This window comes from Homo sapiens, chromosome 6 (assembly GCF_000001405.40).
Source record: "Homo sapiens chromosome 6, GRCh38.p14 Primary Assembly".
NCBI lineage: Eukaryota > Metazoa > Chordata > Mammalia > Primates > Hominidae > Homo > Homo sapiens.
The window spans coordinates 129,756,025-129,769,925 of NC_000006.12; the positions used below are offsets into that span (position 1 = coordinate 129,756,025).

The 13,901-nt window shown below is 40.2% G+C and overlaps 1 pseudogene, besides 1 other annotated feature; it reads right to left on the bottom strand.

Moving 5' to 3' along the window:
- Positions 309-1,088, bottom strand: RPL5P21 (ribosomal protein L5 pseudogene 21; annotated as a pseudogene).
- Positions 12,661-12,830: an enhancer, noted in NCBI's record as "experimental_89620 CRE fragment used in MPRA reporter constructs". NCBI's record gives its function as "activates a minimal promoter by MPRAs in K562 erythroleukemia cells, with activity observed for the non-introgressed 6:130089915 variant allele {active_cell/tissue: K562}" and the evidence as "EXISTENCE:reporter gene assay evidence [ECO:0000049][PMID:34662402]".

Here is a 13,901-nt window from a genome sequence, read left to right on the forward strand (position 1 = left end):
ATACCTAGTGTCTAGAAGAATAGTACCTAACACATTAGAGTTGTGCAGGATGTATTTACTGAGTAATGAATGAGATCGTGCAAGTGGTTAAAAATAAATTACTTTCTCTGTCTGGATAAATTTTATTGCTAACACCTTGTTCATAGTTATTGTCCTTTCTACCTCTCCACCACTAAGATGAATCTCCTCCTACCTCCATTTACAAGTGTATCTTGATCTGAAACCTCTTCTAGACAATGACGGACAATGATTGTTTGGTATCCAGCAACCTAACCTGCTCCTGAGCTTGGCGGATGTTTGCCCTCATGCACACACTCTTCCTTCTGCGCAAAAGGCATTTCAGGGTGATTCTACCTCTCCTTCTGAAATTTCCTGTCTTCTCATAGAGCAGATGCTCTCATTTGGCAACATGAACTGTGCACATCTCCATCATGCTTAGAGTTACAAGTTTCCTTATGGATTGAGAGACTTGTGTCTCATAAGCATCTTTACCTCTCATTAGGAGATACATACAATGTGCACCATGACAGGTGTCAGATGTCCTCCTACCCTGAATCTTTGCTTTCTGAATGAAAACCTGGGTGTCATTCGGTACTGTGAGATGGACAAGCCCACATCCACAACTTGCTTCAGATGTCACCCTCACCACACCCCTCCAGCCCCTGCACAAACCTATAGTAGGTCTGGCAAGGCCCACATCTAAACTGCACATGAAGGTACCAGGCTTACCATCAGGCTTTTCTACAACGCCTCTGTTTCCCTCCATTTGGAGGTAGATCCCATTGTGCTAAATCTGTGAGGAGGGCACCAGATGGCAACAAGCTGACACTTTATGCTGTAGCATAGTTCCTAAGACCAACCTTGACCTCATACTTTGGGAGTTTGTGAGCACAAGGTACACGAAGTATCATATCCCTTTGATGGGGAATGAGCCATTAGACAAATGGTAGCCCTGTTGCTATCATACTGGATCACCCTAGACTTGGATTATCATACTTCTTAGCCTGGCTATCCCCCCACCGTATCCTAAATTTCGCTTGAGATCATTTGAAATAGGCCTTTTTCTTGACAACTTTGACAAATCCCACCTTACCCCAAAGAAATCTATATCTAGGCACAGACCAGCGGGCCTTGTAGAGCTCTATGGGAAAAGACTGTCATTCAGGCACAGGCTCAGTAGTACCTAAGGTGCCTTTAAAATACAGATTCCTGAGCTCCAGTCTCAAGAAATTTTGATTCAGGAAGATTCAGGTGAGGCCTGAGAATCTATATTCTTCAAAAGTTCATTTACTACTGGCACTTCCACCCAACCATCACTCAACTCTCCACCTCATTATGTCTGAAGTATATTCATGTTAGGAGCTCATTGACCTAAACTGCACACCTATGAGCAATGCAGAAAGCTTCATCTTGTTCTCAGAATAAGGAAGGACCCATTCATTCATTCATTCATTTGTGCATTAGACATGCTAAAAATCTATAGCGAAATCAATAATAAAATACAGTTCCTTTGGGCAGGACTGACTACATAATTTATAGGGTACAGTGAAAAATAAAAATGTGAAGCCCCTTGTCCAATAACTTTTTTTTTTTTTTTTTTTTTAAGAGACAGAGTCTCACTCTGTTGCCCAAGCTGGAGTGCTGTGGCGTGATCTCAGTTCACTGCAACCTCTGCCTCCTGGGTTCAAGTGATTCTCTCACCTCAACCTCCCAAGTAGCTGGGATTACAGGCATGTCCCACCACATCCAGCTGATTTTTGTATTTTCAGTAGAGATGGGGTTTCACCATGTTGGGCAGGCTGGTCTCGAACTCCTGACCTCAGGTGATCCTCACACCTTAGCCTCCCAAAGTGCTGGGATTACAGGTGTGAGCAACTATGCCCAGGGAAATTAAGATGCCTTTTCCCCCATAAAATAGGGCTCAAGAAATATTAAGAATTTCAGGACAGCAACAGCAGAGCATTAAACCAAGCATGGGGCCCATCTGACCTTGGGCAAAGCATGTTCATTTTGAGAATCCACTTATCTAAACTACATTCCTAGGAGCAATAGAAAAGACAAGAAGTCCTTCATTTTGCTCTCAGAACAAGGAGATCTCTTAGAACTATGTCCATAATGCTGGCCCAGCCTGTGTAGGAAGAAGGAATCTAGAACATTCCCACCTGAGAAATGAAATTCCACTAGCAGGCAAAAAGTGATGAGCCAATAAAAAAAAAATTAATGATCATTAAGAAACAGTCTCCATCTCAATCAATTCTCCTAGTTGAACTAGAGTTTGTACTTCTAATGAGTATGCTTAAAATAACAACAACAGAATAATAAATTAGCATTCTCCATTACTTTGCGGTTTTCCCAGGTACAATAGCTTTCTAGAAGCTATAACAATAAATCCTTAGAAATAAAATTCCCTCTTTTTTGAGCTGACCAGGGGATATGCAGGTGATATCCATGAAAAGGAAAGAACAACAGGTCTTCATTTCTACTTAACTCACAATAGCTTCTAATATCCTTTCTAATCTTAATAATACGCAAAAGAAGTATGAAAAATTTCACTGAAGACAGCCAGGTTGAAACTCGAATTAATCCAAAGACACTTAATAAATGAGCTCTTTCATACTACAGAACATTATTCTTGTTAAGCCATTTGTCAAATTCATATGCCAACATTTCACATTAGTAATCATCGTGATTCTATAATACAGAATTATGTAGTTTAAGAAGTTGATGGCTATTTTGTTGTATGGATTTGGGGATCTATAAACCCAAGTCTTGGTATTTATTCCTATCCTTTTAAGATTAAAGAATTAAAAAAAATAAAGGATGCATGCCAAAAGCGTGACAGAAATGCTTGCTCTTCATAAACACAGTGCTTAACAGTTTTTTGTATGGATCATGATTGCTGAGGTTATTATATTAGCTGCCAAAGTGCCAAAGGCTTGGTTCTTCTACATTTACTGTTTCATTGTTGTTTTGCCTTATTTGTATTCAGACATAATACTTGGCTTCAGAACATTATAAATAGCAATCAACAAAATTAAAATGAGCACAGCCAGCATACAGTATGTTGAAACTGTGGTAGAGGGGAAACAAGTTCTCTAAACAAAAGCACACACAGAGTAATAAGGGCTTTATAATGTTTAAAAGGTACCTTACCCAGATATTAAGGGATGTTTTCTCCTTGCACACAGAATAGGAAGAGCCAGGAAAGATAACCTCCCTAGCGCCGCAGCCATTTCTAGACGGCACTTGTACATTTAAGTTTCTTGCTCTGACACCATGTAAGAGTAGCAAAATGTGAGGCCTTCACATGTGACTGTGCGGTCAAAAGAAAATCTCACTGACTTTCAAGGAAAAGTAGAAAAGGGAAGTATCAGGTATAGAATCACAATTTTACACACTGAAAACAAATTTACAAACGAATGCAGTACTTGTCAAATTTAATAAAGAAAAATAATTTTGCTGAATTGAACACTATACTTTTTGGACTATATACTTTTATTGCAGTCCACTGACAAATGTAATATCCATTCGATAACAAAATTCCAGTTTATAGATTTTCTGAATACTGATAATATAACAAAACCTGTGTCGAGTTGTTGTTTCGAACTTATCAAAACATCTCATACATACCTTAACCAGCAAAGCCTATATGATAGTTCTATAAACCATGACAGGGAAGTATCTTCAGAATCATTCTTTTAAAAATACATTCAAGTCCTGGGACTTCCAAAGTGGTGAGCCTGGGGTAAGGGCCAAGCATGGTCTTAAAATAATTTTAAAACTCTCTGGGTGATTCTGAAACACAGCTAAGGCTCAGAACACTGTTGCAGACAAATGGTTCTCAAAGTGTGGTCCCTAGACCAGACACGTCTGGGAACATGTTCCAAATGCAACTTTTGCAGCTCTTCCCACACATACTAAATTAGAAACTCACTGTGGAGAAGGAGGAGTTTAACAAGCCCTCCATGGAATTCTGATTCAACTTTGAGAATCGCTGTTTAGAGATGAGTTAGGTCAAAATCATCTGTCTTATAATTACTAAAACAAAGCTACCAGAACTTCAGATTTTCTTAGATAGTTTCTATATTCATCATACAAATCAAAATCAATCTTAGACATTTACTACTCCATATAAGGGCCTAACAGCTGCTACTTTGGAAATGTTTCTACAGGCAATCACTTTTAGGATCTTAGCCTCCAGCTCTTTCTCGGGGTTAGAGCAGAGGTCAGCAAACTTTTTCTGTTAGGGTTAGATAGAAAATGTCTTCAGCTTTGCAGACCACACGGTCTCTGCCACAAACAAGTGTCATATACAATACATATGTGAATGGGTGTGGCTATGTTCCAATAAAACTTTATTTACAAAAGCAGGTGTCCGGCCAGATTTGGCCCAAGGGCTGTAGTTCTTAGAAACTCCTGGATTTAAGAAATGATGATAGACTCATCGGGAATGCAAAACAAAACACAACATACCACTCCTCACCCATGAAGGCACACTCTTCTATGAGCACAAAACTTATCCAATCTGGAAGGACAGACTTCCTTCCAGATGAAGGACAGACTAAGGGAAAGGAGAGAAGGAGAAAGTGGTTCATTTACTCACTTATCCACATGGTGAACATTAAGTGCACACTAATGTTTGGAACCAAACACCAAAGCCCTACCCTCACAGACCCAAGTTTAATGGAAGAAAAATATAGATTGGAGATGAATAAAAAAAAACAATGCTTTAATATTGATCAAATTGTTCTGAGAGTGTAGGGTTGATTGACAAGATCTGAAGTAGCCATGAAACAGGTCACATTAGGCCTGGATCTTCAGGAATGAAGAGGATGATGCCTCTTGGAAAAAAGGGAGAAAAGTATTCCATGGGGAGACACCAAGTGCAGAGGCACAAAGCTCAGGATTAATACATTCAAGGAACAAAGAGAAGATCAACATAGCTGGACTACAGGTGACAATGGTGAGAGAGGGGAGTCATAGGCAAATTGGAAAATAGGGAAATTGGAACATAGGCAAATCGGGATGTACCTTGTCTAAGAAGTCTGAAGTTTATGTGGATATGCAGTATTGTAAAAGCTGGAGACTGTCATAATCAAAACCTGTAGGAAAAAACACCCAATAGATCATTCTGGCTGTAGCATAAAGGACCAGATAGAGCACTGTAACTTCCTACAATATTAATTGACCAAATATAGGTCAACCTAAATAACAGAGAGAGGCTCTCTAAAAAAAGAAAGATATTTTAGAATGGAGCATTGCAACAGGAATACACTGCCATGGTAAACCATGTTTATATTCAGGGAGGTAAAGAAAGACAAAGTTTTAAAAGAAAGAATGAGGATTACATAATTGCTTTGACATAATTATCCTTGGCTACAAAGATCAATAACAAGGGTGATGCCAGTCTAAGTTTGAACTGGCAGTTGCTGGGCAGATGTCCTTGCAGAGGTATTTTTTGTAGAAGGTTTTAATGGCCTTTGTGCAAACTTGTGATTTCTTTGGTCTTTTGTAACTTTTTTTTTTAAATCAGGCATACAAGCATGAGAACCTTCCCTTCACAGCCTTCTGCAATGCTTAACAGACCCAGTGAAAGATAGAAGTTGATTGAACCAAAGTAGCGACTGGTAGAATGGATGAGAGGAAAAGTTTTACAAGGCTTTTCTGAACTTGCATAGACATACTTTCCTACTGGATGGAAGAGAAAGAGCTAAAAAAGATTCTCCTTGATCATTTGGGAGACTTTAGAAAAGGTCAGCCTTAACTGAGACAGGAAATACAGCAGGAGGAGCAAGCTTGGATTACAAATATAAACCCTATTCTGTTATCAGTATGCTGAATTTCAGATGTCTGGGGACAGATAAAGAAGTGGTCTTAAATGTTTATTTCATAAAGTAACTTGCATGAAATCACTCTAAAAGCTTGGAAATAGAATGCAAACCCTACTAGTATTTTTAATAATCAAGTTATTACACACCTATTAAATGGAACGTATTTGAAACCAGAGTAAGAGGTCAAATGAATACATTCTTAGAGAGTTATAAGGAGACTACTGCAAGATTTCTCCCTTCTATGTTTTAAGTAGCCCCTGTCTGGGGGCCTGGAGGAAGCCCACTTTCTCCTTTACTGATAAGTACTTCTGGAAAGATGAAGACCTATGAGCAAAACAACAACAACAAAAAATTTGGTCCTCTCAGCCTTTGGACCTCTTTTGGTCTACTCCAAGTCAGAGTGGTCCTCCCAAGTTCAGCCTCTTCCTAGTCTATCTCTAGTGAAAAGACGCCAATGTCATGAGAGTACTAATACCCATGTCTCTGCTAAAGCAGGATAGTGAACAAGCACAACTTATATAGAAGGTCAAAGGGGAAAATTCAGCCTTCCTAACTGCAAGGAATGTAGTGCTAACAATTTAGGTTGTGAAAGGAGTTGGTTAATTGAGAAAAACAGACACCACATATCACAGAGCCCAGCATCTGGCGTGCAGTAAAATATTCAATAAATAAATGAAGTGACTCTGTGGCACATACACTCACTTTCTCATCCAGTCTTAGAGCAGACATTTTCCAGTTTATTTAAGCCAGAAGAGATGTTTTGTCAGAATAAACCAGTTTCTCGGAAAATGACAACACTGGTGTCAAAAAGGGTTCACAGGACAGGTACCAAAAATATTACCTGTAAGTTCGGGTGCTAAGACTATAGAATACTTCATTCCTTTTGAAGACAGATCCCTGTATTTTCTAAGTTTTCTGTAGGATACCAAAAATATTACAGCAATTAAGTTTGGGTGGAGGGGTTATGATTTCATTTCTTTGGGGACATGTCTGTGTATTTTCTAGGTTTTCTACAATGAAAGTACATTATGTTTGTAATTAAAAATAAAACATAATTTAGAGAAGGAGGTCTATGTGCTGGCTTCCACCTCCACTACTACCTCCTTAGTGCAAGTTACCAATGTCTCCTGTCTACAGCAATGACCTCTTTCCTGATCTCCCAGCTTTCCCTGTTGACATTCTCCACATAGCAGCCATAGTGCTCCTTTAAAATGCATCCTCCAGTGGCTTCCACTGCACTTTAAAAATTCAGTCTCTATAGCCCTTGCCTATCTTTTTAAACTTATCTCCTTCCTCCCCATCTCCCCCACACCCTAGTCCCTACCTCACTCCCACCCCCATACTCCATTCCTGCCATTACCCCCCCCCCACACACACCCCCTCCGGTCTGACCACACTACTATATATCCATTGCTAGAGCAAACCAAGCAACCAGAAACATGTCCCCAGACTTCAGCTCCATTCCAGGTTCAAATCATACATCATTTCCTCAGAGAGGGCTTCCCTCAGTGCCCTACCAGAGGTCACACTCTATACTATTTCTTTGTCTGCTCTTCATAGCACTAAGAAATGCAAATATACAGATTCCAACTGGACTTTCACATTTGATAAGGTGTCTGCCATGGCCCTCACTTAACCTCCATTGCTGAGCTACTTGGCAGAAACAATATCACAGAGAAACAATACAAGGCTCTGCCTCAAACTTCAATATGTGTCTGTGTTCTCAAATTGTATTCCTAGCAGTGACAATCTGAAAGTCACTGGCTGGGCTAGAAGCTAACTATACCCTTGAAGATGACACAGAATCCCTGGAACTTGGGGCATGAATATATCAATCCTAGAACTAATTTCATTTTTCTGGCATCTTGCCTAGACTACACATAGTTAATGTTTGAGTATTTCCAGTTCTCTGTAGGTACAATTATCTTTTCATTAAATTGCTAAAACCAAAGCTAGGAATCATTTAAGTAATGGAAAATTCCTTTATTACATCAAAACCAATCAGTGATTAGCACTAGGACTGAAACCTATCATGCTATACAAATATAGCTGAATAGCTATTTTTAGACTGTTATAAATTTGATGGAGGGAATAACTGAGAAAGTTCTCTATTTGATGGTGATGATGATGATGATAATGATGATTATTTAGAGACAGGGTCTTGCTCTGTCATCGAGGCTGGAGTGCAATGGCAAGATCATAGCTCACTGCGGCTTGGAACTCCTGGGCTCCAGGGATCCTCCCGCCTCAGCCTCCTAAGTAGCTAGTACTACAGGCATGTGCCATCACATTGGGCTAATTTTTTAAATTTTTTGTAGATGGGATCTATATAGCCCAGGATGGTATCAAACTCCTGGCCTCAAGCCATCCTCCCAGCTTGGTCTCCCAAGTAGCTGAGACTACAGGTGTGAGCCGTCACACCCTATAGTGATGAACCCTATAGTTCATCAATACACTGAATATCTATATTTATGTTATTTTGTTATAGTAGGTATAATTTATAGGAAAAATAATATATAACTTTTATAGTAAGATAAAAACATTTCTGATCATGTAGCCATCTACTGAATGTTCTTGGGATATATGCTGGTCCCAGTTTTGAGAATAAACAAGCTATATAGCTGAACTATGTTCAGATCCTAAGCACTAGCTGAGTCCATCTCTAAAATAGTAGTAGAGAAATAAAGAGGCACACAAAAGTTCTTAATGAAGCAAAAGGCAGGGAAAACACATTAGAACAGAAGTTCTAGGACTATTTGATTGTTAAAAGGGAATTCATTATATTTCAACCATGTGCTTCACAGACTAACTGCCTCTAAGGGAGCTTATAAAATCTCAGTTATTTTCTAACTGATATGGAAGAGACATGGAGGGTGGATAGTGGGGTCTGGGACAGATTAGGGACACAATATGCGATGGCCCCACCACAATTCTCACCCCTTAAAATGGGAAATATAATGACTTGCCCTGGAATAGTTTTACTCCTCATTGTGTCACAGTTGGGTGACAGAGGAAAGAGGGAGAGAAAGGAACAGAAAGTCTCTCTCATATTCAGATGCAGAAATCACTTTTTCCTGTTTTCTTCTTATGACTGATCATTACGGCACTACTCTGGGTCACTGCTGAGTGTGGTACTCAGCATTAGAACACATTTTATGTCTAACTAGAATAGGAATGATCATCGCTGGTTGGGGACTTACCATCTCAGACAATGAGACCAGCACAGACAAGGGAATGGAAGACAGGTTTTCCTCAGTAAAATCCTGGGGCTTTGAGAGCTTCTGAGATGGGCACTTCTTACGTTAATTTCACTAAGGGACACCTGGGTGGGACCTGAGTGGCTAGCAGCATGAACAGGCAAAGATCAGAGGTCAAACTATTAACACCAGAGAACTCAGACAGCTTTTGTCTTCCCATAAGTCCACTGAGGGCTCAGGAAGTGGAGTGCTACTAATCATGCTGGGGTGTTGACACACAAAAAAGGAAGAAATGGGTTTCTCCAAGCTTCTGGGTAAGTAATCAGACTTCAAAGAACTTCATCCCTTTTGTAGAACAAAGCTTGTTGACTGTATGTGGGTTCTAGTCCCTACAGAACAAACTAGAAATAGGAATTTCTAGCCCTATACAAGCTTGACCCCTCACCCTTTCTTACTAGGGGATGTGTCCTCAGGTTTGTCCCCTTCTAGCTTTGTTAGAATTTCCTGACTGGTTCCAATCATCTTTAACTCTTTTCAGGGCTAAGACGCACCTCCCTTGCCTTATGTACCTGCCTGAATTTCATATATCAGGCACACCTTCATAGACCTGTGCAGATCTGCCACGGCAAGCTACGGAAATCAGCAAGTACATCAGCGAAGGCTTGGATTACCAGTTATAAGGCAAATTTTGAACATATTTTACAGTTTGTCTATAAAGATACTGTCACTCATTCATGGTTAAATGGGCCTGCCAGGGTATGCGTCACAAATACTAAATTATGTTTAAAAGAAGGCTTTAAAAGCAATCAACTATCCAGAAATTCCAACTTTTTTTTCCAGTGAAGTATTCACCACTCAACAAGTATTTCCTTGTCTTTTTTCTTCCTCTGCATCACTGAAAGATTTTTATTCTTTTTATTTTTGTTTTGATAAGGAAAAATCCTTTGATGCCTCAGAGAAAGAATACAGTTATTATTTTAAATGAGTTGTTTTTAGTAAGTGTATATTTGAGCATGAAACAAGTCTAATACCAAACTAGGAAAAAGACATTTTTCTGCCCCATTTGATTATAGTTGCTAAATGTTAGACAATACTTGTAGACCTACTACTATCTTATTAACTTGGGATTTACTTGGAAAAGTGCTTTCTCTTAAAACTGCTAAATCTGTGAGGATGGCAAATTAATAGCAATGGAAATTGTAGCTATGATTACATGACATTTTGGACAGGTTTTCTTTGGTGGCACAGAGTTAGATATGTTTATGCAGCTGCTCTTGGCTTCAGTTCCTACAGACCCCTCTTTTGCTTTTTTTCTTTTATATGAGGAGCCATATGAAGATGTTGACTTTCCACAATTTCTATCAAAAATGTTATTTTGCAAACACAAAACTACACTTTGAAAATGTTTCTTTACTTTTAAACCAATGCCTGATTGGAGAAGCCATCCTTTTCAGCACCCAAAAATGACGAGTACTAATTTTAAATTTTTGTTTAAACTTGTGTCTCCTATTTATTCCAAGAGTAAACCCTGAACACGTTTGGGGTTGTGTTGTTTTTTCTTAACAAATAACCAGATAATCATAGTGCGACTATTTCCTCTACTCAGTGTAAGTTCAACGCTGACCAAGGTTGATGTGAATGTCAAGATTAGTTTTTCTCTCTTGGCTGTAACTGAAATCACAATCATCTCGAAAAGGCTATTATGATTATCAGTTTACCTACAAGCATAATGTACCTTTTACAAGAATATCCCAGGAATTATTTTTTAAAAGAGAAAAGAAAGTACCCCTAACCTCATCTTGCAAATGGAGACTTAAATGTTAGGCTCAAGGCAAAATTCTACCAAGTAAATTTTAGAGGCAAGACAGACAGGTTAGTAAGAACACTAATGCTTGTCTTTAACCCCAACCTGAAAAGATTTTTTAAAAATCACACAAAAAGTCCTCTTCCCCAGTCTTCCTTAAGAACAAACTAGTAGAGTGAGGGCAAGGCTAGTTTAAAGACCTTTCCCAGCTGTATATTTCAAAGCTGATATGCGTTGCAAAGAGAAAAGCATGCAAAGATGCTCTCCTTACCGGAGGTGAAAGCATTGTGCCAGCTCTGTCACTACTATAACCATCTTCCGCAAGTGGAGAGCAGGGAACGCCAGGGTCCCAAGAAGTGACGAAAAGCGATAATTAGATCTCCTGCAAGAATCTTCCCTAAGCACTTTCTTCCGTGACACACCTACTTTGTGGCATCTACGCGCTCTTCACGGCTAACCACAATCCTGTCATTTCGGCTTATTCATCCAGCAGCTGCCGGAAGGACCGGGCTGAAGCGTGGCCACGAGGAGGGGGATACCCGTGCGAGCGCTGAGCCGGCAGAGCGGCTGCAGCCCACGGGCTCCTCGGACCCCCGCTGCTGCGCCGCTGCAGCTGACCGTGCGAAAGCCGCATGTTATTGGGTAGAGATCAGCTTTCCAGGAACAGGCATCAGCTGTGCACGAGCCCGGCAGCATCTCGAGACAAGTGCTAGCCGGTGTTGGTGCAAACCAAAGCTTGCTATGTGCTCAGAAAGCGGCCCCAGCTACTGAGCATGCTCGGCTTCTTCCCAGCTGCTGTTATCAGAGCCCCTTAACTGTTGACTTCTGTTGATTTGAGAAAGGGAGAATGAAGGAGTGGGCACGAGGGTGCGATTCGGTGAAGGAAATACCTTAAATTTGGAAATGATCTCTTCCGTATCCCCGCGCCCCTTCCCCACCGCAAAAATAAAATTTAAAAAACAGAGTAAGGATACACTGCTCTGCACTTAGGAAATTTTTTATTGATAGGATGATAGAGATGTTTGAAACCTACCAGCAGCTTTTAGTCTTTAGCTTTCTCCCTGCCCAATTAAGTTGCCTCCGGGATCAAGCTTGTGGTGTAAACTGCGAAAGGGTTTAATCCTAACAGATCACTGTTCCTCGAGGATTAAGTACAGAATTGCCTTGTGTTTGAAGATCTAGGCAATGTGCCACAAATTAATTATCTCTGTACCATCATAATCTGCCTCCTACTAGACAACAACTTTCTTAAATATTTTATAAAGTAATTGTGCTAGTTTTGAAATGGAAATGTTAACCTATATTATAACATACATCTTAAAATTTAAGTCTTCCAGATGGTAAGCAAAATGCAAGCAAAGAATGCCTGGCTGATTCATGACTGTAAACATAAATCTTTTCTTGGGGGCTTGGTGGACGGCCAGTACTCCATAAATGTTCCCGTGACGATGAATTGGTGAACTGATGGGTTAGATCATCTGTTAGTGGCGCTTACAGGAAAGCTGAAGTTCTTGAATTTGCTATGGACCCCTATACTAACTCTTGACCTTCTCAGCTATTTTGGGCTGGTCAATTATTTGAAGATAGAAATACACTATACATTAGGTGTGCAATACGTAAGCAAATGGCTTTTAGGTGCTATTTACATTTTATTATTTTTCTTATGCCTCCTTTTCTTCTTTTTTCGGCCCCCTAAAATGCTACTTTCCAAGTTGAGCCTCATTCAGAGCACGCCGTCTCAGCTACTACTGAAACCAGCAACATTAACTCTCCATGGTTTGCAGATAACAAAATTATTTCATTTTGAAAAACTTTTAGCCAGTCATCTCTGCCAAGTATGTGGAGGGTTAATCTGAGAGGCTTTCACAGCTGAAAGCTGGGCCTGTGAGAGCCCACACAGGACACAGGTGAGGGGAAGTCAGGTATTGAATCCCTAGCAGGTGTCTGGCCTGGCCCATGAATCCAGTTCCTTGGGGCAGGAAAGTCCTCTCTTTCTTCCCTTTTTCTCTGCCCCATCCTGTGGCTCTTTTATTTGTTTTTTTTGAGATAGGGCCTTGCTCCGTTGCCCAGGCTGGAGTGCAGTGGCACAAACACAGCTGAGACAAGTGCTAGCTGGTGCAGTGTCAACCTCCCGGGCTCAAGCAATCTTCCTACCTCTGCCTCCCAAGTAGCTGGGACTACAGGCACACACCACTATTCTGGGCTGATTTTTTTTTTTTTTTTTTGTAAAGATGGAGTCTCACCATATTGCCCAGGCTGATCTCAAACTCTTGGGCTCAAGCGATCCTCTCTCCTTGACCTCCCAAAGCACTGGGATTACAGGTGTGAACCATTTATACCTAGCCTTCTTTCTGTCCTTTTAGGACTCAAGTGCTACCTGAGTACATCCTGACTCCAGAGCAGGCCCACTCTGGCTCCCCTTCTCTGTAGCTTTTCAGTGATACTTTCTTCATTGTCTTTAGTTGAATCATACCCCACCATACCAGCAGCTTTGAATTTCTTAAGGGTAGAGACAATGCTGGTTTTTTGGATCTCTATGTATAATTGTACATATATAATTACAATTATAATTGTATAATTGTATACATCTGTGCAGTTACTGGTTTTCACATGTTGTCAATATTACATGGAGACACAGGAGGAAGTCCTTCTATTGTAATGACCACTTAGAAAATGGACAGAGTTAGTCTAGGGACATTTCTTAAAGGAAGTGATTGCAGGAGGAGAAAGAACCTTCTCAGTATAACCAAATCAAAGATTTCATAACTGGAAAGGAAGATGCAGACCTGCTAAGAGCAGATAACTAAGGTGGGGCTGTTTTATAGGTTTTAATCCCTACTTCTCTGTCCCGAACAAAAATAGAAACAGAAGTGGGGAGACACAACTGCTCCTGCTATGGGCCCCATGGACTCATTCAAATTCATAGCAGAGATTCCTTATTCCATCTACCTCATTTACCATCTGCCATTTTTTTCTTGCTATTTATTATATTGCAATGAACCTGGTTCTGAAGGGTTGCCCAAGGTGTTCTAATCACCAAAGCCAAGAATTTCTCAGTTTTGATGACAA